At 36.4% G+C, this 27,992-nt stretch overlaps 1 long non-coding RNA gene across 1 annotated transcript, besides 9 other annotated features; it reads right to left on the bottom strand.

Moving 5' to 3' along the window:
• Nucleotides 102-27,926, bottom strand: LOC105375468 (uncharacterized). Its single transcript, XR_927901.2, has 3 exons — nt 27,785-27,926; nt 10,000-10,084; nt 102-140 (listed from the first exon to the last, which is right to left on the bottom strand). It is a non-coding gene; the product is annotated as an uncharacterized LOC105375468 (long non-coding RNA).
• Nucleotides 1,226-1,865: a silencer, noted in NCBI's record as "nonconserved region 9 (NR9) negative regulatory element (NRE) in the greater CFTR locus". NCBI's record gives its function as "modestly represses an SV40 promoter coupled to the HS2 beta-globin enhancer in the forward orientation in transfected K562 cells {active_cell/tissue: K562}" and the evidence as "EXISTENCE:reporter gene assay evidence [ECO:0000049][PMID:18436892]".
• Nucleotides 16,432-17,031: a DNaseI hypersensitive site, noted in NCBI's record as "DHS-20.9kb, or -20.9 kb or -20.5 kb DHS observed in multiple cell types; the nucleotide coordinates are approximate for this feature". NCBI's record gives the evidence for it as "EXISTENCE:in vivo cleavage assay evidence [ECO:0001075][PMID:7540005, PMID:10448643, PMID:10561583]".
• Nucleotides 16,455-16,640: an enhancer blocking element, noted in NCBI's record as "EF fragment used in the reporter construct". NCBI's record gives its function as "blocks activation of a human gamma-globin promoter by the mouse HS2 beta-globin enhancer when located between the enhancer and promoter in transfected K562 cells" and the evidence as "EXISTENCE:reporter gene assay evidence [ECO:0000049][PMID:17696881]".
• Nucleotides 16,537-16,606: a protein binding site, noted in NCBI's record as "EF oligo that binds Oct1". NCBI's record gives the evidence for it as "EXISTENCE:protein binding evidence [ECO:0000024][PMID:17696881]".
• Nucleotides 16,591-16,837: an enhancer blocking element, noted in NCBI's record as "CD fragment used in the reporter construct". NCBI's record gives its function as "blocks activation of a human gamma-globin promoter by the mouse HS2 beta-globin enhancer when located between the enhancer and promoter in transfected K562 cells" and the evidence as "EXISTENCE:reporter gene assay evidence [ECO:0000049][PMID:17696881]".
• Nucleotides 16,613-16,684: a protein binding site, noted in NCBI's record as "CD oligo that binds CTCF". NCBI's record gives the evidence for it as "EXISTENCE:protein binding evidence [ECO:0000024][PMID:17696881]".
• Nucleotides 16,621-16,649: a nucleotide motif, noted in NCBI's record as "nucleotide_motif; PMR-CDbeta purine/pyrimidine mirror repeat element". NCBI's record gives the evidence for it as "COORDINATES:motif similarity evidence [ECO:0000028][PMID:10561583]".
• Nucleotides 16,641-16,654: a transcriptional cis regulatory region, noted in NCBI's record as "CTCF core motif mutated in the CD-CTCFmut construct". NCBI's record gives its function as "required for enhancer-blocking activity of the -20.9 kb CD fragment" and the evidence as "EXISTENCE:site-directed mutagenesis evidence [ECO:0005528][PMID:17696881]".
• Nucleotides 16,656-16,683: a nucleotide motif, noted in NCBI's record as "nucleotide_motif; PMR-CDalpha purine/pyrimidine mirror repeat element". NCBI's record gives the evidence for it as "COORDINATES:motif similarity evidence [ECO:0000028][PMID:10561583]".
• Nucleotides 27,927-27,992: the final 66 nt, after the last annotated feature.

The following is a 27,992-nucleotide window of genomic DNA, read 5'->3' as shown; positions in this document are numbered from 1 at the left end:
AAATGAGGTTAAATACACTCACCTTGGTCAGGTGCCATGGCTCATGCCTGTAATCCCAGAACTTTGAGAAGCTGAGGCAGGAGGATTGCTTGAGCTCAGGAGTTTGAGATCAGCCTGGGCAACACAGTAAGACCTTGTCTCTACAAAAAAATAAAAAAAATAGCCAGGTGTGGTGGTGCATGCTTCTGATCTCAGCTACTTGGGAGGCTGAGGCAGGTGGATGGCTTGAGCCTGGGAGATCGAGGCTGCAGTGAGCTGTGATCATGCCACTGCACTCCAGTTTAGGTGACAGAGTAAGACCTTATCTCAAAAAAAAAAAAAAAATCACCTCATAGGATTGTTGAACAGATTAAGTTAGGGTCTCTCTACCTCAGTACTACTGACATTTGGGTGTGGATAATTCTTTGATGTGGGGGTTGCCCTTGTACTGTGGAATGTTCAGCAGTATCTCTAGCTTCTATTCACTGGATGCTCGTAGGACCACATACATCCTAGGTTGTGACAGATAGATCTGGAGATCCAGGACTATCTCCAGAGATTGCCAAATATGTTGGGGAGAGAGGTACAAAGTTGTCCCCAGTTAAGAACCACTGGATGAAATAAATTAAATGTGATACATATATCAGACGTAAAGCACTTAGAACCCAATAAACACTTAATAAATATTAGAAATTATCATTACATACCACTGGTTATAAATTAGAAATTTGTATAGGATTGCAAAATGGAATGCTACAGAAAACTGAACTCTCTAAAAGCTATCAGAATTCTCAGGAACATTGGAATTTCTCATTCCTTAAGAAATTTTTGGTATTTGAACTAAATGTAAAGGGGTAAATCAAGTACTCTTGCAATTGTAAAATCATTTTTATTTAGAGGCAAACTTCTATTTTTCTATGGTGAAAATGTCCCTTTGCATTGAAATAACATTTTAAAGCTCTGTTGTTTGGTTGCTCTAATTTTCAGCTCATCAACAGTGGTGTATTTGTAACTGTGTCCAGATGGAATTTGGCACCCTGATGGGTCTTCCGTAGCTTAAAGGTAGTTTCTCATTAAGGAAGTCTTAAAGATCTTCAAGCTGTACAAAACGGGAGCTTATTAATGCTGCTAATGAACTGAAATAATTATGAACAACATCAAAAATATCACTTTGTCATAAATGTAAAAGCTACCAAATCCTGTAAGATTTTCTAAAGCTACCATTCATGAAATGTTTTATGGTTTTTATGGGTTCTCTTCTCATTTTCCTGCTGAAGCTTTTCTAGAAACAAGGGAATTCATAACACAGATTAAATTTTCATTGGTGATATCATGCTAAAGGCCAGATGCCACCTATAGAATTAGATATTATAAATTTGAATTCTAAAAAGAAAAGTAGTGATCTTTTTTCTGAGATGAGTTCTGTGGTAATTTACATGCTACATAGAAGAGTTATATTTAGAAAGGCAGGGGTGCACAGTAAGTAGAACAGTGAATTATTTATTTATAACTGTTTCCCTCTAAATAGATAATTAGTAATCAAAACAGTAAAACAGGGCATTTGAAATAATAAGAGAGACATGATAGAAAAATTTTATTGCACATGGGCACTAACAGCAATTCTGAAAGTCTTGGCTGTCAAAGCCCAGTCCATTGTATTATTCTCATAATCTGATATCTGAGAAAAGGCAATATGTAAGTTCACCTGGAAAGAAAAACCATCTTCCCTCCACCCCATTCATGGAAGAGTTTGCTGTTTAGAGACTTATATCACTGAGTGGTATCATGGACAGTATTTTCAGCTATAATTTTCTCAAAAACATTTATTTTATGGTCATTTCTTATACCAGTCTATGATCAAAAACCAAGGACGGGACATGAAGTCACTTAAAGAAGGCTTGTTGACCTGGAAAACTAAAATTCAAGAATTCACAGGTTTAGGGACTCCTTTCTGATTTGCTTTAACTTCCACTATATAGAAAGAGTCTATGAAATCTCATTGTTTTAGGGTCATTTATTGATCTTCAAGTTCAATGTGATTGGTGAAACTACAGTGATTAATCTGTATGGTCAAAAGGACAGCCAATTCCCAGTTCAGTGACTATGGCTCACTGGCCTCCACAGCCTGCATCCTTGTGTCTGAGACAGTGACTGGCATCTCCTCGCTTCAAAGGCTGTTGAGAGGCAACACTGATGAAGTGATGGCAAAATACTTTGGAACTCTTATTTACATGTGCAAAAATTATATTTAAAGACATGTATGAAAATTGCCTAAGTACTTTCTAGAACAAAGTATATCATGCTAATGAAGCAAAATCAAATTGATAAATTTGTATCATGTTTTTCACCCAAAAAAATTAACTTACAAAGTTTTACCTAAAAATATAATTTTTCAAAAAAAGCAAATTAAGTTTAGTATGGTACCGTCTTTGTAAGAAAAAAATGTCTGTTATGTATACTTGTTTGTTGTTTAAATTACATTATGTGCCTCAGGAAAGACCCTATAAAGTTAGTACATTTTATTATTAACATCCCAATTTACAAATGAAGAAACTGAGGTACAGAAGGTCAAATGCCATGCCCAAATTCAAGAAAGAGTGCCAGAATCTGAACAAACCCAGTTGTCTGGCTCCAGAGCTGAGTAGTTAATCACTGTGATCTCTGTGTAACTAGACCACATAGAACTCTTTTGTTTATTTAATTAAGAGAAGGTGCCTTATATAATTTATGTTCTTGCTTCTCTGTTTAGGTGAAAACAAGGACTTATCACAAACTAGACTTGTATTTTTTTCTTCATTTCTTCTGAATTTATTGAATGGACCCTCTTCATTAGAGGAATGAAAAGTATGCAGGTGTCTAGGAGGAGAAGAAAGAAGAACAAGCTCTTTTCTGTGGCTTGACAAAGACTACTTCTATTTCTTTTGAGATTCAGTGTAGTTAGAATCTGTTTGGTGTGTTGAGATGACCCCAAATGAAGTATGCAAACAGAAATACCAAAGATCCCAAGGAGAACACATTACATCATAAGAGAGAAGTTTAATGCCAACACCTACTATGTGGTGGGAGATGGGTTCTTGTTTCTGCAGCTGAAACTGGAAGCTTGTCTTTACTCACCCATCCTTAGGTGCTAGGTGGGCTTTGGAAACTACTATAGCAACTTTGGAAGTCCAAGAATAAAGTATTCCTGGCTGATATTAAGGCTGGGAGAATGAGTTTCATCTTCCAGGAACTGCTGTGACCTGTGCAGGGATCTGTTCCAACAGGGTGATAATAGTAGCAATAGACTGGGATGCATCTGACTCTGTGGGAGGACCTATTTTCATCAGTGACACAATGCTGTGGTGACAGAGGCTCTTGCAGCAGAAAATGGGGTGGGGCATGTGACAATGGACTAGTCAGATCCTTCATATTCTCCTTTTTCTAGTGTTTAGAAACAGAAATTACCTCTTTGAACCAAGAAAACTTGGAGTTCTTGGACAATTAGGGGTAGAAAAAGTTCTTTAGAAAAAGTTTCTGGGCTTCTTGCTAACTTCAATGTTTTAAACATTTAAAGTTAAGAAGAGATGTGACCTTATTTGTACTCCAAAAACTGGGTAAAAGGAGACCTACAGGTCACATATACATGTTTGCATAAGCATTGAAAAAAGCCTGGAAGGATGTATGTCATAATTATGTCAAAAATTTATAAACTTTTTAAATATTTATGTTTCAAAATAAAGAATTGCATCTTGGAAAGTAAAGTGACTTTCTGATTCCATTCCACAAATGTTTTTGGAAAGCTTATAGTGTTCCATCTCTGTGCCAGGCAGTGGACATAGTAAACAAGACAGGATTCTGCTACAACTTCCAACGAGCTTCTTAGATCTAAATTTTACTACAACTCTGACAAAGCAAAGCATTACTTCTCTGAGCCCAAAGAAAATTACCAGCATCATTGTCTCTTGTATTTATTCTGACTTTCCTCAGTCCTGCAAAATCTACAGTAACTCCCTAGTCTCCTTCGATTTCCCTTTTTTGTACTTACCCAGGCCTACATTTTTCCCCCATTCCTGTTTTAAGACTGAAAACAAAATCTTCTCAAGAGTCATTATAGTTACAAAGATGCCCTGTTGGGAATAGAAGACAAACACTTTCTTCATGTAACTTTCAATGTTAATTAGATCCCTCTACTGTTCATTAGCAGTTAATATTCTTATAAATCTTTTAAGTTGTATTATCTTGCATAAGTGCCAAAGTTCCACTGCACTTTACTTTTTACATGTTAAGAGCATTAATTTTGGCTGGGCGCAGTGGCTCACGCCTGTAATCCCAGCACTTTGGGAGGCCGAGGCAGGTGGATCACCTGAGGTCAGGAGTTCGAAACCAGCCTGGCCAACATGGTGAAACCTCGTCTCTACTAAAAATACAAAAATTAGCTGGGTGTGGTGGCGGGCGCCTGTAATCCCAGCTACTCAGGAGGCTGAGGCAGGAGAATCGCTTGAACCTGGGAGGCAGAGGTTGCAGTGAGCCAAGATCACGCCATTGCACTCCAGCCTGGGCAACAGGAGCAAAACTCCATCTAAAAAAAAAAGCATTAATTTTTTAAATGCAAATTTAAAATCTAAAAATTTTAAATTTTTAACACTCATTTTGGCTTTTTTTTCCTTAACAAAAGGTACTAGGAAACTAAAAAATGAAAGTGCCTCACTCAGTTCTGTTTCTCTAAGAGGAAACTCAAACTCCCACTCAAACTCCCTACTCATCTCAAAGGCCAGGCTAAGACATGTGAGGTATAAGAGCAGGTTCTTAAGCCCCTGTCAATGCAGATTCCTTACCCAAAGCAAAGCAGGAACTTCACTTCTCATGCCCCTCATGTCAGACGACCTGCATGCCCTCAACACTAATGGGGAACAGAAACCTTTATCCTTTCTGCACCTGCCTCGTGCTTGGCACTGTGGGAACCCCAGCGACTGAAAGCTCCCTGGACAACAGCCAAGCCGTGGTGGAACACCCAGTCCCATGCTGCAGGCTCATCGCCAGCCACCAAGCCAGCCATTGGCTGTGATTGCACTGCTATGTTTTCAAGACCCAGTATGGTCATGATTCTAATTGTCTTTAGGAATTCTTTTTGTTAATTACTTATCCAATAACAAAGCAAATGCCTCTTGGAATTATTTACTGCTCTAAAATGGGGTGGGGGAAAAACCTATTTGATTATTACATTCTATCCTACTTGCCTTGAAGAAAGTAAAGATGAAAAAAAAGTTGATGTGAAATAAACATCTGGGAAAAACTATATACTTGTATCCGATCACCTAAATGTGTTCTCATACAAACAACAATGAATTTGAGGCTTGTAACACTTTGGATAATTCAAGAAAGATGGACTATTTCCTGTAATCTGTTTCTATAATCACTCATTATTAAATTTAAGACATACTTTCCTTTAGCTCTGTAGGTAAACATACCTTAGATCATCTCATTTTAAAATATATTTTCTATCAGACAGCACCACATAGGGCTTTAGAACTCTTCCACTGAGTGTGATCTAAGGTTTCATCATTTATAAAATGGTGGGAAGAACAGCTTCCATTACACAGGGCTGTAGTGGGAATTAAATGAGTTAATATAAAAGAAAAAAATTTAGCGCACTGATTGACATAGGATAAGTGCTCAATAAATTGTGTGTGTATCAAATTTTACATCCTCACATTAATGATTCACTGAATATTGAACTGACTCTTCCATGATTTTTCTCATGAAATAATAGAATGTGTATCATATAATTCATTATGATTTTTTAAAATGATTATCTTCTCAACCAGTTTTATTGTGCTTATTTACTCCATTCCAAAATAAAGGAATATAAAACTCAACAATAAGAAAACAATCAGCCGGGCATAGTGGCTCACGCCTATCCTACTTGCAATCCTAGCCTGTAATCCTAGCTTTGGGAGGCCAAGACAGGCAGATCATCTATGGTCAGGAGTTTAAGACCAGCCTGACCGACATGGTGAAACCTCGTCTCCACCAAAAATACAAAAAAATTAGCCAGGTGTGGTGGCGGGCGCCTGTAGTCCCAGCTACTCGGGAGGCTGAGGTACGAAAATCACTTGAACCCGGAAGGCAGAGCTTGCAGTGAGCCGAGATGGCGCCACTGCACTCCAGCCTGGCTAAAGAGCGAGACTCCGTCTCAAAAGAAAAAAAGAAAAAGAAAAAGAAAACAATCAACCCAGTTTAAAAAAAGTAAGCAAAACATCCGAACAGACACATACTAAAGAAGATATACAAATGGGAAACAAACATATGAAAAGAAATCCACCATCATTTGTCATTAGAGTATTACAAATTAAAACGACAATGAGATACCATCACTCACCTTTTAGAATGGCTAAAATCCAAAAAACTGACAATACTGGATCACTGGCAGGAGTTGCTGGTGGCACAATGGTACAGCCACTTTAAAATACAGTTTGGCAGTTTCTTGCAAAGCTAAATATAGTCTTACTATACTATCTAGCAGTCATGTTCCAAGGTATATTGATATACTTCAATCAGCGAATGGATAAACAAACTGTGGTACATTTCTATGATAGAATACTACCCAGCAGTAAAAAGTAATGAACTACAAGCCACATAAGGACATGGATGAATGTTAAATGCATATTGCTAACAAAATAAGCCAGGGTGAAAAGTCTACATATTGTATGATTTCAATTATATGCATTCTGGAAGAGACACAGCTCCACGATAAACAGATCAGTGGTTGCCAGGAGTTTGGGAAAGGAGGGGAAGGGTTGAATAGGCAAAGGACAAGGGATATTTTTAGGGCAGTGAAACGATTCTGTATGACATTGTAATGATGGGTACATGACACTTTGTATTTGTCAAAACCTATAGAACTTTACAGCACAAAGAATAAACCTTGATGTATATGAATTTAAAAAATAATAATTTAGGAGATTGGAGAGGAGGGAACCCTAAAATGGAATGCAGACTGCAAAAAAAGAATCTGTGTTACTAACATATGAAACAACTTCACTAGGAGGAGTATGAGTGAAATGTTCTGGACTAAGCAACTTTGAAAATGAGTAGAGTCAGTAAAACTAAAGATAGAAGAACTTACATAAGCACCACTCTAGTTGACAAAGTTGTATCCCACAGGGCTATATGTAATAATTCTGAAGCCACTGTATACATAAACTGGAAATGAGAAATTAGGTAAGCAGATAGTAGGTGGTGGAAGACAGATTTTTCACGGTTTGAAATAGGAAGTTACAGATAAGCAAGAGGAAGAGGCTAGAATAATCTATACAGTAATTGATTAGAATTGAAGACACCATATGAACTCATATTTAGCTTAATAAAGATACAGATGTTACATATCGAAATAATCATAGATGTATGTGTACACATAGGTTAATATACACACATATATTTCTTTGCTCTGTCAGCTGAGAAAGAACCTAAAAATAACAACATCTCAATAGCAACCACCATACCACAGTGCCCAGACCTTAGTTTCTAACACCATTCTCCAGTAAAAGGAACACTGACTTTAGTTAGTACTAATGTATCAATATTGGTTCACTAATTGTGACAAATGTAACATACTAATTTAAGATGTTAATAGTAAGAGAAACTGGGAGGGGGTTGTACAGAACCTCTTTGTAGTATCGTCATAATTTTTCTGTAAATTTTTATTTTAAAAAAAGTTTTTTTATTTACTGACATTTGGCACATTTTCTATGCAATAACAAGTTACTAACAATTTAAACCTTTAACAATTTTAATACTTAATATCTCAAGCCCAGTGAGATCCCTTTATGTCATTTTAGCACTATCAAAATTAATACTCTTCATATTTTTTTTCAATTAGATATTTCTCTTGCAAGGGTGACCATGAGATCTCGGGCTTACAGCATGAACTGCCTAAGTCTGAAAAACTAGCTTCAAGTTGGGTTACTCTGTGACTTAAAAAAATACACTTTATGCCCGGTGGGATTTATTTTTCAGTGGGAAATAAATCATGTAAAAAATAATAAATATTTCTTAAAAATTAAAAAAAAACACTAAATTTCTTCATCCCAAGAAAGCTCACAGGAAAAAGTAAATCTTCATGTACTTATGCCAACCCAGGACCATCAAACTGGTCTGCAATTATTCAAAAATCTGTAGCAATTATTAACAGGATGCAATTCATCAACCATACCAAACTTGCAAGGTAATATTAACTACTGGCTATGAGAGTTGTATGACTTAAAAATAAAAAGTGTTAAATTAAATTTAAAATAAAACATTTACCTATGTAACAAACCTGCACATCCTGCACATGTATCCTGGAACTTAAAGTAAAATTTTTTTTTAATGTAAAAATAAAAAAAGAAAGAAAAAGTGAGTTTGGCCACAGAGTGGTGACAAATTTCTACTCCTATTGTATAGTGTAAAAACACTTGGATTCGAGAAAAACATTACATTAAAAGAGATTCAACCTCAAAGTTCTATTTTCTATTTTCTCTAGGAAAGGATTTTACTTAAATAATTATATTCAATCTGTACCTTTCCATATCTCCACTCATTTTATCCTCTAATTCTTCTATATTTACCATTACTGACTTTCAATTTTAAATATTTAAGTATTATTGCAATGAACTAACAAAGAGGTGTAACATTTCACTCAAAAAAAGCATTTTGGAAGTAGTCAAAGTTGACCATTAATAGTTTTTACATCCTTACTGAAAAACTTTTAGTAAAACATGTTTTGAAAGTAAAATATTTTTATTTGTAGAACAACTAATACATGGAATGCAGTGGCATAAACAAGGCTCACTATAGCTTCAACCTTCTAAGGTCAAGCAATCTTCCTGCTTCAGCCTCTCGTGTATCTGGGATCACAGGTGCACACCACCATGCCTGGCTACGATTTTTATTTTTTGTAGATACAGGGCCTCACTTTGTTGCCCAGTCTGGTCCCAAACTCCTGGGCTCCAGCAATCATCCTACCTCAGCATCCTGAAGTGCTGGGATTACAGGTGTGAGCCACTACACCTGGCCAGAACAACTAATATTTTAAGTCACTGAAGAATGAAACATGGATCTTTGTTGCTGTCTTGTTTTCCAATATGAAGCAAACCCACGATATATCCAGGATAAGCAAAATGCAAGAAATTGATTTGTATTAAGTCTCTAATATGCTAAGCCTTTTATATGGTTGTTATTCCCCATTTAATGCTCTCAATATACTTATGAAATAATTATTACTACACATACTTTTTACTCTTGAGTAAAATAAGATTCCAAAGAATCTTTAACACACCTGCCTATAGCCTCACATCTAGTATTGGTAGTCCTGAATTAGGTCTAACCAATCCCATGACCACACTTTTTCACTATATTGTTGTAGGGTAAAATATCAGTAAATCAAAATCATTGAGAATAGGAAATTGTAAAATTAATTTTCTTTAAATTTGTAACAAGAGACCTCAAACTGAGACAAAAAAAAAAAAAGGTTTTTTGTTTTGGTTTTTTTTTGTTGTTGTTTTTCTTTTTTTTTTCTTTTTCTTTTCTTTTCTTTTCTTTTTTTTTTTTTTTGGAGATGGAGTCTCGGTCTGTCGCCCAGGCTAGAGTGCAGTGGCGCGATCTCAGGTCGCTGCAATCTCTGCCTCCTAGGTTCAAGCAATTCCCTACTTCAGCCTCCCCAGTAGTTGAGATTACAGGTGCCCGCCACCACGCCTGGCTAATTTTTGTATTTTTTGTAGAGACGGGGTTTCACCATCTTGGCCAGGCTGGTCTTAAACTCCTGACCTCATGATCCACCCACCTCGGCCTCCCAAAGTGTTGGGATTACAGGCGTGAGCCACCATAAAGGTTTTCTACTGTGTAACACTTGTGAAATAATTTGAACTGAAAACTTCAACTGGCTTCTTGATTTTTGGCATTTAGCAAAAGACACTGTATGGTTTGTTCCCTTGAGTCCCAAGAGAGTTATATTACAATGCAAATAGTAAGAAAGGAGTGAATAAAGAAGCAAAACCCTCTTACCTTTTCAACACTCAGGAGAAGTCCAGTTGATGGGGCACCTCTCATTCAAAAGTTCAGGCTAAGACCTCAAATCATTGTCCAACACCTGTGGTTGGCAGAAAGAGTGAAGGATAAATTATGGATGTGGAGGATAATGGAAGTTTTGCTGGGCTTCAGTATGAAATTCCATGTGGTTATATATATAAATCAAGCCACGTAGTGGGTTTTGTTTTATAATATTGCACAGAAATATTAAAATTTATAGTCCTTCCAAATAAGATAAATTTTAAATTTTCATTGGAGACTTTGACATGGTTGGGACTATATTGCATGTTTCACAATTACAAAATTAACAGGATTTTGTCCACAAATAAGTGTGTATTTTCAGATGCCTGTTGGACATATACATGCCTACTCAACTGAAAAGTACTGGGCAGTATTAAAACTATCCTTTCAGGCATATTTTTTGTTTGTTTTTTGATACAGGGTCTCACTCTATCGTGCAGGCTGGAGTGTAGTGGTGTGATCTCAGGCCACTGCAACCTTGACTTCCCTGGCTCAAGCAATCCTCCCACCTAAGTCTCCTGGGTAGCTGGGACTACAGGCACGTGCCACCACACCCAGCTAATTTTGTTTATTTTTTGCAGAGATGAGGTCTCTCAATGTTGCTCAGGCTGGTCTCAAACTCCTGGGCTCAAGCTATCCTCCCGCCTCGGCCTCCCAAAGTGCTGGGAGTACAAGAATGGGCCACCGTGCCCAGCCTCAGGCATATTTTTGTACGTACAAACTGTCTTCTTGAAATTTTTCCTTAGGTTTTATGAAACTGTCCTCACCTTTTTCCATAAAATCCTATTTTTATCACATCTGCATATTGATATTCAGTTTTCCCAAGGTTAAGTTCTATTGTGATTTATTTAAAATGCTTTCGTGCGCTTTAGTTAAAAACAAATTGTAGGTTAACAAAATGCTTTTTACTTTTGGTGAATATAAAAATTTGTGGATAAAAATGAGAATACGAAAGAGGTGTGAGGACGGGTTATTCAAATTACAACTTACTTCCAGTCATAGAAAAACCTTTAGTGCTATTATGGATTTTTAAATGTTTTTAACATGTGATACATTTTAAATAAGTGTAAATAAATTAACATTTAAAATAATAAATTTCACAAATAACTTCATCTTTCAAGTTTTTCTGTATTAAATTATGTATCTCTTACAAGTGATTCTTGCAGAGGACATTTCAGAAGCACATGCATTTAGTATAAGTTAATTAATTCAAACTTCATCACCCCTTATGTCCAATCCATCTCTATCCTTGCTCCTTGAATCAACCCTGCTCCTTGAAAAAGCATCAAATCTCTCAGTTGCATGGAGGTAGGAGAAAAACTTGATGCCTAATGTTTAAACAACCAAATTTCCTTTCTTACTGCTGAATTATAACAACTCATTTCTTGTTCTCCTTTTCACTATAAAATAATTTTATAGGAAAGGTTGGGTTCATGTTAATTTAGCAAAGTAGGGCTTGAAACATATCATTCTACTAACTAGTCTAAGGGAATGAGATTATATCATAAAAAAATCTAAATACATACATGTCAAAAAAATAAACAATGGTAATTCTTATGATGAGTTCTTACTCCCAGGTGTGCTAATTTATATGCTCTATACTAGAAAGAGAATTACAAAGATACATAATTCATGTATTTATGCTCCTCAGGTATCCCATACCTCTAACTATGCAAAATTAAGCTATATTGTCCAATAACAAAGAATGATTGAGTATTCATATCAGTTTGCACTCTTATGGTAATGATTTCTAAATACATTGAAGTGACAGAATTCTTCATTTTCCACCTGTAGGCTAGTTTTGAAAAATAAATTATACTAATTCTTATGAAGCATTCATCTTTGTTACTAACTCAGGAGAGTCATGGAGAATACAATTTGACTTTTCATGTGCCTCATAGTGCAGGGAAATACATAACTAGTTAATCAGGTAGTAAAAATGAGTACTTTTTTTTGAAAAGTGTCTGTTCATATCCTTCACCCACTTTTTGATGGGGCTGTTTGTTTTATTCTTGTAAATTTGTTTAAGTTCCTTGTAGATTCTGGATATTAGCCCTTTGTCAGATGGATAGATTGCAAAAATTTTCTCCCATTCTGTAGGTTGCCTGTTCACTCTGATGATAGTTTCTTTTGCTGTAAAGAAGTTCTTAATTTGATCCCATTTGTCAATTTTGACTTTTGTTGCCATTGCTTTTGGTGTTTTAGTCATGAAGTCTTTGCCCATGCCTATGTCTTGAATGGTATTGCCTAGGTTATCTTCTAGGGCTTTTATGGTTTTAGGTCTTACATTTAAGTATTTAATCCATCTTGACTTAATTTTTTTATAAGGTGTAAGGAAGGGGTCCAGTTTCAGTTTTCTGCATATGGCTAGCCAGTTTTCCCAACACCATTTATTAAAGAGGGAATCCTTTCCCCATTGCTTTTGTCAGGTTTGTCAAAGATCAGATGGTTGTGGATATGTGGTGTTATTTCTGAGGCCTCTGTCCTGTTCCATGGGTCTATATATCCATTTTGGTACCAGTACCATGCTGTTTTGGTTACTGTAGCCTTGTAGTATAGTTTGAAGTCAGATAGCATGATGCCTCCAGCTTTGTTCTTTTTGCTAAGGATTGTCTTGGCTAGATGGGCTCTCTTTTGGTTCCATATGAAATTTAAACTAGTTTTTCCTAATTCTGTAAAGAAAGTCAATGGTAGCTTGATGGGAATATCATTGAATCTACAAATTACTTTGGGCAGTATGGCCATTTTCAAGATATTGATTCTTCCTATCCATGAGCATAATATTTTTCCATTTGTTTGTGTCCTCTCTTATTTCCTTGAGCAGTGGTTTGTAGTTCTCCTTGAAGAGGTCCTTCACATCCCTTGTTAAGTTGTATCCCTAGGTATTTTATTCTCTTTGGAGCAATCGTGAATGGGAATTCACTCATGATTTGGCTGTTTGTCTATTATTGGTGTATAGGAATGCTTGTGATTTTTGCACATTGATTTTGTATTCTGAGACTTTGCTGAAGTTGCTTATCAGCTTAAGGAGTTTTGTGGCTGAGACAATGGGGTTTTCTAAATATACAATCATGTCATCTGCAAACAGAGACAATCTGACTTCCTCTCTTCCTATTTGGATACTCATTATTATGCAGAGAACAAACATGGAAAAAAACCTCATCATCATTGGTCATTAGAGAAATGCAAATCAAAACCACAATGAGATACCATCTCATGCCAGTTAGAATGGCGATTCTACTCTGTTGTCAGGAAACAACAAATGCTAGAGAGTATGTGGAGAAATAGGAACACTTTTACACTGTTGGTGGGAGTGTAAATTAGTTCAACCACTATGAAAGACAGTGTGGCAATTCCTCAAGGATCTAGAACTAGAAATACCATTTGACCCAGCAATCCCATTACTGGATATATATCCAAAGGATTATAAATCATTCTACTATAAAAACACATGCAGACGTACATTTATTGCAGCACTATTCACGATAACAAAGACTTGGAACCAACCCAAGTGCCCATCAATGATAGACTGGATAAAGAAAATGTGACACATATACACCATGGAATACTATGCAGCCATAAAAAAAAGAATGAGCTCATGTCCTTTGCAGGGAATGGATAAAGCTGGAAACCATCATTCTCGGCAAACTAACACAGGAACAGAAAACCAAACACTGCATGTTCTCACTCATAGTGGGAGTTGAACAATGAGAACTTATGGGCACAGGGAGGGGAACATCACACACCAGGGCCTGTCGGGGGGTGGGGAGCAAGGAGAGGGATAGCATTAGTAGAAATACCTAATACCTAATGTAGATGACGGGTTGATGGTTGCAGCAAACCACCACAGCACATGTATACCTGTGTAACAAACTTGCAGCTTCTGCACATGTATCCCAGAACTCTTCCCCAATATCTAGTTCTCTGACCTTCAAAGTGTAAAACAACTGAAAGTTAAATTTAGATATTAAATTAGACTTTAATAACTTTCAACCTTATTTCTGAATAATATGATTACATAAAAATAGAAATTCATTGTATAATATTTATATATAGCATCGTTTTGGTGTGTAATTAAACTGAACTCATTTCAGTGAACATTTATCAGAGATCTACATGTGAGGGCCCCTCATAGAGAGTCCAGAGGGTCCGTTGGCCAAGGCCTCAGATTAACAGTCCTAGAGGTAAACTGACAAGACAGAAAGAAGAAAACACGCAAAACACACAACACTATACTTGCGTACAGTTATCAGACTATGCCAACTTAAAAATAGCATGAGTTAAATATTTTAGAAATCCTATAATTATCTTAAGCAGCACACAATTACATTGGGGATTATTGTGGGCATGTATGTGTTTTCATCACATCCATTTTTTGACGTAACATTTAAAATATGCCACAATTTTGTAACCCTGGCATTTTTCAGTTTTTAATATACTGAGGGCCTGAAAAAATACAAAGAGCCCTGGTGTCTCTGAATGACTCTGCCAGTTGCAGGACATCATGCTAATCTCTGGGGACACCAAGACACAGTCCCTACTATCAAGGAGCTTATAGTTGGCATATAAAGAGAAACAAATATACAAATACGAATAATAGATAATAGAATATGATGAGGGCCACTCTAGAGATGCAAATAGCCATGAGACTTAAGGGCACCAAAGATCATCCAGTTAAGAATAAGATATGTCTTCAGGAGAAAATGTCATTGACAATGGATCTTGAAAGACAAGGGGCCACTGCACATATACACCATGGAATACTATGCAGCCATAAAAAAGGATGAGTTCATGTCCTTTGTAGGGACATGGATGAAGCTGGAAACCATCATTCTGAGCAAACTGTCGCAAGGACAGAAAACCAAACACCGCATGTTCTCATTCATAGGTGGGAATTGAACAATGAGAACACTTGGACACAGGATGGGGAACATCACACACCATGGCCTGTCGTGGGGTTGGGGGAGTGGGGAGGGATAGCATTAGGAGATATACCTAATGTAAATGACGAGTTAATGGGCACACCAACATGGCACATGTATACATATGTAACAAACCTGCACGTTGTGCACATGTACCCTACAACTTAAAGTATAATAATAATAATAATAAATAAATTAAATTAAACTAAATAAAAAGAAAGACAAAGGGCCTCTGACAGGCAGAGATGACTGAGAAAGATATGAGTAGAAAGGGACATACTTTTGAAATCGCACTGTTTGCATGGTTTGTGAAAAGCAGAGGAAGGAGTAAATGTGGAAAATCAGATTGAGACCTTGTTCAGAGTCTGAAATGGCAGAAAAGAAGTCCCACACCTACTATCATTGGCAAAAGGGAGTTAGTATGGGGTTTTGAGTAAGGAAATAACATCAACGTGTTGCATTTTAGAAAGAAAAAAGTAGAATAAATACACATGGTGGCCTAGTGGAAAAGGAAGACATCGTATGGGCAATCAGTAAAGAGGCTGTCACAGCAACCCTAGGCCTGAAGCTTCATCACTCTGCCTAATTGGAAGAATTTCCTTTTTGCTTAGTCCCGGGGATCCTTTCTTTGTTTTCTTCCCTACACCTATGTTCTAAGCTATAATAACTATAAGCTTGTATTCATTAGGTGACCTGAGGAAGTTCATTTTTGTCCAGTATTTGGAAATATTCCTTAGTATGACCAAGGGGAGTCCTAATACATAACCTTGCTTGACAGTTAAAAAAAGATTCTTAAAGATGAGGTAATCAATAAGCAAAGGAAAGAAGTAATTTCTAGTACTTGGAATAAGCAATATGGGGATTTATCTTCCCAGGAATTACTCAATCTCTCTCCACTACTGTACTTCCAGAACAATGCCATTATTCAAGCTGAACAGGCAAAAATCCAGGTTGCCACCTGACTTTTGATTTAACAAAGGTTACATGCAAGCTGTTCTGAACTGTTGAATTACATAGTTTATCACATCATCTAATGTTTTGAAAAAGATGTTTTATTATTAATTAAATTTAAAGTTTCAAGAGAAAATATCCTAATATACTTACTAAAACTATATTTAAACATTCCTGTAAGGTATATTATTGAAAAAAAAAAAAAAAAAAAAAAACTCCATCACATCCCATTTGAGTTTCCTTCAGTTATGTTTATAAGATACATTACTTGATTAATAAAACTGAAAACCATGCTTAACAACTCTGCATGTTGAAGGAAATGACCAAATGGCTATATTAAGATGTCTATGGAAAACATTCACATAAACTTACCCATAATTGAATTAGAAAACCATAAAAGGAAAAAGTCTAATTAATTGAATTACCCAAAATAAAAGGGGACATTTTTATCACTTCAAAATATAAAGAATATTCAGACTTTTCAAGTCTGAATTTATAATTGGTTTATAAACAATTAAAAATTCAAAGTACAAATTTCATTGGAGATTCATTAAACCAAATATATGTAAGAAATTAAAATTTATACTTAGATCAATTATTTTCAAAATAGCATAACTAAAGAGAAAACAAAATAGCTCACTTTGTAAATGTATCAGAGAAGTGTTTTAAATAGTTGAATAGAGGACGAGATACTTTTATAGTATTTTCTTCTCTCTTCCTTACCTGCCCTCTGCTGGTGAAAAGAGAAAAGTGAAAAGTAAAGAAGCTTCAAACAACATCCCGGAAAAGCACACTTTTATACAAAAAAAATTTAGTGTTATAACATTTTTCATTATACCAGATTAATTTGCCATCATATTATCCCACCACTCTTCTTGGAAGCAATATTCATACATTAAATGTTGCCTGTGAGTTAGGATTGGCGTAAAAAAAATTAGGAGGCTTTGGAAATATTTCACTATTTTAACAAAGTTTAGGTAAATGACCATGCTAAAATAAGAGTACAAACATCTAACAGACATCTAAAAATATTATGAAAGATATTTTATGTCATTTCTTTCTTTTTTTCTTTTTTGAAACTGAGTCTCACTCTTTGTTGCCCAGGCTGAAGTGCAGTGGCGCGATCTCGGCTCAGTGCGACCTCCGCCTCCTGCGTTCAAGCGATTCTCCTGTCTCAGCCTCCCGAGGAGCTGGGATTACGGGTGCCCACCACGATGGCTGGCTAATTTTTGTATTCTTAGTAGAGATGGGGTTTCACCACGTTGGCCAGGCTGGTCTCAAACTCCTGACCTCAGGTGGTCCACCCACCTTGGCCTCCCAAAGTGCTGGGATTACAGGCGTGAGGCACTGCGCCCAGCCATTTTATGTCATTTCTATCTTTACATTCTTATTGACCAAATAAGCATGGACTAGATGTGAGTTCCATTAGCACTAGTCATAATTGACTGAATGACCATGTCCAAAAGGGTCTAATGGATCACTGTGAGCCAAGATAGAAGTTAATAAGGATGGTCTACAGGGCTTCATCTTTAGTCCTCCCTGACCAACATTTTCACCAATGTTGAATATAAAATTAAGTAAATCCCAATCCATAAAGATTTCAACAGACTGGAAATTGAACAAATTGTACCAAAATAAAACAGGAATTACTACATAGGTTCAAAATTTGCACAAGCATGAGGTTTGTAGTGGTACCATTTGTGAAAGAGACTCTGATATTTCAGTTAGCAGCAAACTCAAGAGTAAAGTGGGATGCAAATATCAAAAAATTGATAATAATTTATATCTTAGGTGCTTGATATGTGCCAAACCTACGTTGAGCAGTTCATATATGTTCTAAAACCCCAGTCTAAAACAAATTTGGATCAGTGATTGACTCATTTACTGCCCAGCTGTCATGCTAAAAAAGGAATGAGCTAGAATTCTTTTACTGGGGGAGAAGGATTAGGAAATGACTGTCTGTGTATTTTTCAGATTGTCCCAATACAAAACTTAATTTGTTACGTGCAGCATAAGTTTCAGTATTTTTATATTGTGCTTATTATAAAAGTACAGACTCACCGATTACACAATATGGCAGCCCTACATTTTAGGTAACTGGAACTTTTAGACCCACCTAGGGCCAATTTTTCCTTCTAAAGTTAATTTTTTTGAAATTTAATATACATACAGAAAAGTATACAATTCATATATATATATGAGCTATATATGTATATATGAGTCATATATACATATATATAGAGACAGATACATAGATATACATCTCAACAAACTTTTACAAAGTGAATACATCCAAGTAGCTACCACTAGATCAAGAAATAGAGTATAAAATCAGCAAAACAGAAGCCTCCCTCCCATCATCTTTCAATAATTATCTCCTCCCAGAAGAAACTATTCTGACTTCTACCACTATCAATTTGTTTTGCATGTTTTTGAATTTCAGGTAAGTGAAATTGCAGTATGTACTATCTAGTGTCTGGCTTCTGTCACTAAATTTGTGTTTGTGGGATTCATTCATGTTATTGTATATAAAGGTAGTTATTTCCTTACTACATAGTGTTCCATTGTATGTGTACTCTTGATAAATATATCATCCTACTGTCAATGAATATTTGGATTGTTTTGTTTTTGCATCTTAAGGAATATGCAAGGAGGAAAAAATCTGTGTCATAGGATTTGCATATGTTCAATTTTAGTAAATATTTCCATCATTTTCCAAAATGTTAGTACCAATTCATAATTTACAATCTACCAAGAGCATATGGGAGTTCTAGTTGTTCCACCTCTAAGACAATACTATGTATTATCAGGGATTTTGTTTTAATGTCAGTCATTGTGGTAAGTAGAAGTATTTTGTAGTTTAAAATTATATTTTCTGATAATTAATAATTTTGAGTACATTTTCATATGTTTATTGGCCAACTGAATGTATTCATTTGTGAAGTACCAGTTCAATTTATCTGCTCATTTTTCTGTTATCTCGTATGTTACCTCTTATTGATTTTTAGGAGTTCTTCATATATTCTGGATATAAGTTCTTCATCAGACATAGTATATTGCAAATATCTTCTTTCTCTCTGTAAGTTGACTTTTCACTTATATTAATAGTATCATTTGATGAAAAGTTCTTAATTTTAATGAAGTCTGATTTATTCATATTTTCCTTTATAGTCAAGTGCTTTTGTAGCCTGTTAGAAATCTATAAGCATCTTAAGAGCAAAATCTGAACTTTATTCTCTAGTATCTTGGCCTCTCTAGTCGTGGCTACTAATCTTGAGCCATGATTAAGATTAAGAGGAAGAAAGCAGGAAATATTTGACAAGGTCTTCGAATATTTGAAATGCTCATGGGGTGAAAACATTAGACTTGCTCTGCATAGTCTCATGAAAGGAATAAGACCCTAGGCTGGAAAGTAAAAGGATGAAGATATACTCTCAACATAAAACAGTATGTCTGGCTGTCCGCAGTGGCTTACGCCTGTAATCCCAGTACTTTGGGAGGCTGAGGCAGGCAGACCACGAGGTCAGGAGATGGAGACCATCCTAGCCAACATGGTGAAACCCTGTCTCTACTAAAAAAAAAAAAAAAAAAAAAAAATTAGCTGGGCATGGTGGTGCATGCCTGTAATCCCAGCTATTAGGGAGGCTGAGGCAGGAGAATCACTTGAACCAGGGAGTCGGAGGTTGCAGTGAACCAAGATGGTGCCACTGCACTCCAGCCTGGCAACAGAGTGAGACTCTGTCTCAAGAAAACAAACAAACAAGCAAACAAAAGCAGAATGTCTGAATAGTCCAATGATGAAATGAAATTGTGTTCTTCCTAATATTGGAAGTGTTAAAGTACAGATGAATGAACAGTTTGTTGGAGATTGAAAGTTTAACAGATAACCTTTAAGCTAATTCATCTGGCTTTAAAGATGTGACTACAGCATGTGATGTGGGACAGTATAGTTGCCTTACATGCTATCAGCTTAAGGATTGCTTGAGGCCAGGAATTCAAGACCAGCCTGGGCAAGATGGGAAGACCCTGGCTTTACAAACAAACAAACAAATTAATGAATTAATTAAAAACGAGTTACGGTTGAAGTCTCATAATATCCTTATTTTTTCTTAATAGAGTACGTGAACCTATATAAACCCTTATTTACAACTATATTTTCAATCTCCATGACTTCTACTTCTTAAATAATACAGTAATTCTCTTTACTTAAAATTTTTCTTTTGAAAATTTTTAAGGGAAGATCTCTATTTCTAATATTCCAGGATTTATCAAAAAAGATTATATTTATCCTAAACATATCTTTCAAGATTTAACTCCAACCATTTTGCCTTTCTACCTTCATCTATTCAGAAGAAAAATTATGTATCTGTTAGTTCCTGCAACAGCAAAATCCTTCAATTCTGTTTACTCTAAAATTTCATTCCCTATATGTTTTCCTATAGCTGTATATATTTCTTTTTAAAATTTTTTTGTGGGTACATAGTAAGTGTATATACTTATAGAGTACATTAGATATTTTGGTACAGGCATGGAATGTATAATAATCATATTATGGAAAATAGGGTATCAATCCTCTCAAGCATTTATCCTTTGTGTTACAAACAATCCAATTATGCCCTTAGTTATTTTAAAATGTACAATTAAATTATTATTGACTATAGTCTCCCTATTGTGCTATCAAATGCTAGGTCTTATTCATTCTTTCTAATTTTTTTTTTTTTTTTTGCACCCATAAACCATTGCCACCTTCCCGCTTCCCAGCCTCTGGTAACCGCCATTCTATTCTCCGTCTCCCTGAGTTCAATCGTTTTGATTTTTAGATCCCACAAATAAATGAGAATGTGATGTTTGTATTTCTGTGCCTGACTTATTTCACTTAACATAATGACCTTTAGTTCCAACAATGTTGTCACAAATGACTGAATCTCGTTTTTTATGGCTGAATAGTGCTCCATTGTGAATAAGTAACACAATTTCTTTATCCATTCATCTGTTGATGGACACTTAGGTTGCTTCCAAATCTTAGCTATTGTGAACAATGATGCAACAAATATAGGAGTGCAGCTATCTCTTTGATACATTAATTTCCTTTCTTTTGGGTATATACCTACCAGTGGGATTGCTGGATCATATGTTAGTTTTAAGTTTTTTGAGGAACCTCCAAACCATTCTCCATAGTGGTTTTACTAATTTTCATTCCAACTGATAGAATACAAGAGTTCCCTTTTCTCCACATCCTTGCCAGCATTTGTTACTGCCTGTCTTTTGGATAAAAGCCATTTTAACTGGGGTGAGATGATATCTCATTGTCTAATTTTTATTTGCATTTCACTGGTGATCAGTGATGCTGAGCACTTTTTCATATGCCTGTTTGCCATTTGTATGTCTTCTTTTGAGAAATGTCTATTCAAATCTTTGCCCATTTTTAAATCAGATTAGATTTTTTCCTATAGAGTTAAGCTCCATACATATTATGGTTATTAATTTTTTGTCAGATTAATAGTTTGTAAATATTTTCTCCCGTTCTGTGGGTTATCTCATCTCTTCACTTTGTTGCTTCCTTTGCTCTGCAGAAGCTTTGTAACTTGATGTGATCCCATTTGTCTATTTTTGCTTTGGTTGCCTATGCTTATGGGGTATTGCTCAAGAAATTTTTGACCAGACCAAACTCCTGGAGATTTTCCCCAATGTTTTCTTGGAGTAGTTTCATAGTTTGAGGTCTTAGATTTAAGTATTTAATCCATTTTTATTTGATTCTTGTATATGGCAAGAGATAGGGGTCTAGTTTCATTCTTTTGCATATGCTTATACAGTTTTCCCAGTACCAATTATTGAATAGTCTTTTCCTCAGTGTACGTTCCTGGAACCTTGTCAACAATGAGTTCACTGTAGATGTGTGGATTTGTCTGTGAGTTCTCTTTTCTGGGTTTTCTGTTCTATTGGTCTATGTGTCTGTTTTTATGCCAGTATCACGCTGTTTTGGTTACTATAGCTCTGTAGTATAATTTGAAGTCAGGTAATGTGATTCCTCCAGTTTTGTTGTTTGCTCAAGATAGCCTTGGCTATTTTGGGTCTTTTGTGATTCCACATAAATTTTAGGATTCTTCCAATCCGTAAACATGGAATATCTTTCCATTTTTTGGTGCCTTGTTCAATTTCATCAGTGTTTTGTAGTTTTCATTGTAGAGATCTTTAACTTCTCTGGTTAATTCCTAGTTACTTTTTTGTGGCTATTTTAAATGGGATTACTTTTTTGAATTCTTTTTCAGATTGTTCACTGATGACATATAGAAATGCTATTGATTTTTGTATGCTATAATTTTACTGAATTTATCAGTTCTAATAGTTTTTTGGTGGAGTCTTTAGGTTTTTCCAAATATAAGATCATATCCTCTACAAACAAGGATTATTTGACTTCTTCCTTTCCTATGTGGATGCCCTTACTTTCTTTCTCTTGCCTGATTGCTCTAAGACTTCCAGTACTATTTTGAATAACAGTGGTGAAAGTGGGCATCTTTGTCATGTTCCAGATCTAAGAGAAAAGCCTTTCAGTTTTTCTCCATTCAGTTTGACACTATCTGTCGGTCTGTTGTATGTGGCTTTTATTATGTTGAGGTATATTCTTTCTATACCAAGATTTTTAGAGTTTTTGTAATAAAGGGATGCTGAATTTTATCAAATGCTCTTTCAGCATCAATTGAAATGATCATATGCTTTTTGTCCTTCGTTCTGTTGATATGATGTATCACATTGATTGATTTGCCTATGTTGAACCATCTTTGCATCCCTGGGATAAATTCCACTTGGTCATGATGAGTGAGCTTTGAATGTATCATTGAATTTGGTTGCTGGTTTATTGAGGATATTTGCAGCAATATTTGCAAGAGATATTAGCCTGTAGTTTTCTTTTTTGATGTGTCTCTGTCTGGTTTTGGTATCAGGGTAATACTGGCCTCACAGAATTAGTTTAGAAGTATTCTCTCTTTGTCCATTTTTTGGAGCAGTTTGAGTAGGATTGGTATTAGTTCTTCTTTAAATGTTTGGTAGATTTCAGCAGTGATGCTATTGGGTCCCAGGATCTTCCTCACTGGGAGACTTCTCGTTACGGCTTCCAACTCTTTACTTGTTATTGGTCTGTTCAGGTTTTGGATTTCTTCATGGCTCAATCTTGGTAGGCTGTATGTGTCTAGGAATTTATTCATTTCTTCCAGATTTTCCAATTTATTGGAACATAGTTGCTCATAGTAGCCACTAATGATCATTGAATTTCTATGGTATCAGCTGTAATGTCTCTTATTTTGTTTATTCATCTATTTTATTTATTTGGGTCCTCTATTTTTCTTAGTCTGGCTAAAGTTTTGTCAATTTTGTTTATCTTTTCAATAAACCAACTTTTGTTTCATTGATCTTTTGTATTGTTTTATTTCAAATCCATTTATTTCTGCTCTGTTTCTTATTATTTCTTTTCTTCTTCTAATTTTGAGTTTGGTTTGCTTTAGCTTTCCTAGTTCTCTAAGATGCATCATTGGGTTATTTGAATTTTTATTCATTTTTGATGTAGGCACTTGTAGCTCTAAATTTCCCTCTTAGTACTGCTTTTGCTGTATTCCATAGGTTTTGGTATGTTGTGTTTCCATTATTATTTGTTTCAATAAATTTTTCAACTTCCTTCTTAATTTCTTCACTGACCCACTGGGCATTCAGGAGCATATTGTTTAATTTCCAAGTGTCTATATAGTCCAAAATTCCTTTTATTATTGATTTCTAGTTTTATTCCATTTTGGTCAGAGAAGATGCTTGATATTACTTCCATTTTTTTCAATGCTTTGAGGCTTGCTTTGTGACCTAACATATGGTCTATTATTAAGAATGATCCATGTACTGAGGAGAAAAATGTATATTCTGCAGACATTGGATGAAATGTTCTGTAAATATCTATTAGGTCCATTTGTTCTACAGTGCAAATTAAGTCCAATGTTTCTTTGTTGATTTTCTGTGTGGGAGATCTGTCCAATGCTGAAAGTGGGGTGTTGAAGTCTCTATTTATTATTATATTGGGGTTTCTATTTATTATTATATTGGGGTATATCTATCTCTCTCTTTAGCTCTAATAATATTTGCTTTATATATCTGGGTAATTTGGTAGATTTCAGCAGCGATGCTATTAATATATATTGTAAATATATATGCACGTGTTAGGTGCATATATATTTACAATCATTATGTCCTCTTGCTGAATTAATCCCTTTATCATCATATAGTGATCTTGTCTCCTCTTACAGTTTTTGTCTTGAAATCTATTTTTGTCTGATATAAGTATGGCTACTCCTGCTCTATTTTGGTTTCCATTGGTATGGAATATCTTTTTCCATTCTTTTATTTTCAGTCTATGTGTATCTTTATAGGTGAAGTGTGTTTCTTGTAGACAACAGATCACTGGGTCTTGTTTTTTTCAGCCACTCTATGTCTATTGATTGGAGAATTTAGTCTATTTACATTCAATGTTATTATTGATATGTAGGGACTTACCCTTGCAATTTCATTATTTGTTTTCTGGTTGTTTTACAGTCTTCTCTTCCTTCTTTCCTTCCTGTCTTCCTTTCAGTGAAGGTGATTTTCTCTAGTGGTATGCTTTAATTTCTTGCTTTTTATTTTTTGTGTATTGTTGTATGTTTTTCTATTTGAAGTTACCATAAGGCTTGCCAATACTATCTTATAGCCCATTGTCCATTATTTTAAATTGATGACAACTTAACACTGATTGCATTAAAAAAACACTGCCTTTTAACTTTTAGTTGTTTCTTTATGTCTTATTTTACTGTCTAGGCCTTGAAAAGTAGTTGTCATTATTAGTTTCCATTAGTTCATCATTTAGTCTTTCTATAGAAGTCAAGAGAAGTTTACATACCACAATTATATGTCATACTATTCTTTGTGTTTCTGTGTGCTTGCTATTACCAGTAAGTTTTGTACCTTTAGGTGATTTCTTCTTGCTCATTAACATCCTTTTTTTTACAGAGTGAAGAACCCCCTTTAGCATTTCTCGTAGGACAGGTCTGGTGTTGGTGATATCTCTCAGCTTGTGTTCGTCTGGGAAGCTCTTTATTTCTCCTTCATGCTTAAAGGATATTTTTGCTAGATATACTATTTAGAATAAAAGTTTTGTTCCTTCAGCACTTTAAATATGTTCTGCCATGCTCTCCTGGCCTATAAGATTTCCACTGAAAAGTCTGCTGCCAAACATATTGGAGCTCCATTATACGTAATTCACTTCTTTTCTCTTGCTGCTTTTAGGATCCTTTTTTATCCTTGACCTTTGGGAGTCTGATTATTAAATGCCTTGAGCTAGTCTTCTTTGGCTTAAATCTGCTTGGTGTTCTATAACTTTATTGTACTTGAATGTTGATATGTTTCTCTAGGTTTCAGAAAATCTCTGATATTATCTAATTGAATAAACTTTCTACTTGTATCTCTTTCTCTACCTCATCTTTAAGGCCATTAACTCTTAGATTTGCCCTTTTGAGGCTATTTTCTAGATCCTATAGGCATGCTTCGTTTTTTTATATTTTATTTTTCTTTTGTCTCCTCTGACTGTGTATTTTCAAATAACCTGTCTTCAGGCTCACTCATTCTTTCTTCTGCTTGATCCTTTTTGCTATTAAGAGACTCTGATGCATTCTTCAGCATGTCAATTGTATTTTTCAACTCTAAATTTTCTTGATTCTTTTTAATTATTTCGATCTCTTTGTTAAATTTATCTGATACAATTCTGAATTCCTTCTCTGTGCTATCTTGAATTTCTTTGAGTTTCCTCTAAACAGCCCTTTTGAATTGTCTCAAAGGTTACATGTCTGCTTCTAGGCACTAGGACTGGTCCCTAGTGCCTTATTTAGTTCATTTGGTGAGGTCATGTTTTCTAGGATGTTGTTGATGCTTACAGATGTTTATATATGTTTCCTGGATGTTGTTTATAGATGTTTCCTGGATGTTGTTGATGCTTACAGATGCATAAATAAGGCACTAGGATTGGTCTCTAGTGTCTTATTTAGTTCATTTGGTGAGGTCATGTTTTCCTGGAAGTTGTTGATGCTTATAGATGTTTGTCAGCATTTGGGTATTGAAGAGTTAGGTATATTTATTGCAGTCCTCATTGTCTGGGCTTGTTTATGCCTGTCCTTCTTGTGAAGGCTTTCCAGGTATTTTGAGGGAATTGGGCCCAAAGCCCAATAATGCTGTGGTTTTTGCAGACTCATAGAGGTACCACCTTGGTGGTCTTGGATAAGATCTGGAAGAAGTGTCTGGATTACCAGGCAGAGACTGTTAGTCTTTTCACTTTCTCCCAAACAAATGGAATCTCTCTCTCTGTGCTGAGCCACCTGGAACTGGGAATGTGGTGATATAAGCATCCCTGTGGCCACCACCACTGGGACGGTGTGGGGTCAGATGAAGCCAGCACAGCCGTTCATCCTTGCCTAAGGCCTTTCCCTTCAGAGTGGTGAGTTCTCCCAGGCTGTGGGCAAGTCCAGAGATGCGGTCTGGGACCTAGGGATCGGAGTCAAAAAACCTTGGCAATTTACCTGATGTTCTATTGTACTGTGGCTAAGCTGGCACTCAAACCATAATACAAAGTTCTTTCCACCTTTCTCTCCTCTCTCTATAGACACAGGAGACTCTCCCTGTGGCCACTAGCACCATTGGTCCCCAGGGAGTTCTGCCAGGCCACCGTGATGTTTAAAGCCCAAGGACTCTTCCACCCAGCTTGCGGTGAATGTTGCCAGGTCTGGGACTTCTCCTTCAGGTCAGCAAGCTCCTCTTCTGACCCAGGGCAGGTCTATAAATGCTGCCCAAGAGCCTAGGCCTGGACTCAGGGATCCCTGCTTAATTGCTCTGCCCCCGCTGTGATTGAGCTGTTGCCTAGGGTGCAAAACAAAGTCCCCTTTACCTTCCCCATCTGCTTTTCTCAAACAGAAAGAGTCTTTCACCATTCCCACCACAGTTAAGAACGTGTTGAGTCACCCCTGAAGCCAGCACATCTCACAGCCCAAGGCCCATGGCATTCTCCAAGGTTATCACTGGTGGTTATTCAGGGCCCAAGGGCTCTTTAGTCAGCAGGTGATGAATCCTACCAGGACTGGTCCTTCCCTTCAAGGCAGCAATTCCCTTGAAATATCAAGAAATATCATCCAGGAGTCAGGGCCTGGAATGGGATGCCTCACAACTCTCTCTGGTGCCCTATCCTACTGTGGTGGAGCTGGTATCCAAGATGCAAAACAAAGTCCCTTTTACTCTTTGCTCTCCTCTCCTCTAAGCAGAAGGAAGGACTCACTTTTGTTGCTGTGAGCTGTGCGGCCTGGGGTTGGGGAAGGGATGGCTCAAGCACTCCCTTAACTGCACCAGCTGGTGTCTTCCTAGGTCAGGTGCCACCATAGTTCACTGGCTCTAAGCCCAGCCTAGCACTAGGAGTTGCCTAGGAATTGCAGTCCTGTGCCCTAGACAGCCTTTCTAGTATACCTAGATCCCAGGGCACTTAAGCCCACTGTGGCAAGGCTTGCCGAGAAACTAACATTCCAAAAGCTGGGATGGTGATTCGCCTCTGGCTAGGGCTGGTCCAAATGCTCCCTCCCTGTGCGGGCACTGGCTGAGCCCAGCATGGCTTTATTCTCTGCTGTGACAGGGCAGCACTGAGTTCAATGTAAAGTTCCCCATTTGCTGTGCTCTTCCCTCCCCAAAGCACACAAATTCTCTCCCTGCACCACACTGGCTGCTGCTGGGGGATGAGGGAGGGGTGGCATCGGCAATTCAAGACTGCCTTCCTCAATGTCTCTTTCCACAATATGAAGTTAAAATCAGGTACTGTGATTGCTCACCTGATTTTCAGTTCTTGTGATGGTGCTTTTCTGTGTGAAGATAGTTGTTAAAATTCGGTATTCCAGTGAGGGGGTTGAACGGCATAGGCTTCTATTCTACCACCTTCCTCTGCCCTCATATAGTTTTTGAAGTTCAGGATTGGCAACTGAACAGTAGAGATAAACAGACCTAGTTTAAATCCCATCTCTACCATTTACTAAAATATGT

The sequence above is a fragment of the Homo sapiens genome, chromosome 7, assembly GCF_000001405.40.
Source record: "Homo sapiens chromosome 7, GRCh38.p14 Primary Assembly".
In the NCBI taxonomy this organism is placed as follows: domain Eukaryota; kingdom Metazoa; phylum Chordata; class Mammalia; order Primates; family Hominidae; genus Homo; species Homo sapiens.
The sequence above is the reverse complement of the archived record's forward strand: the minus strand, read 5'-3'. Positions and strand labels throughout refer to the sequence as shown.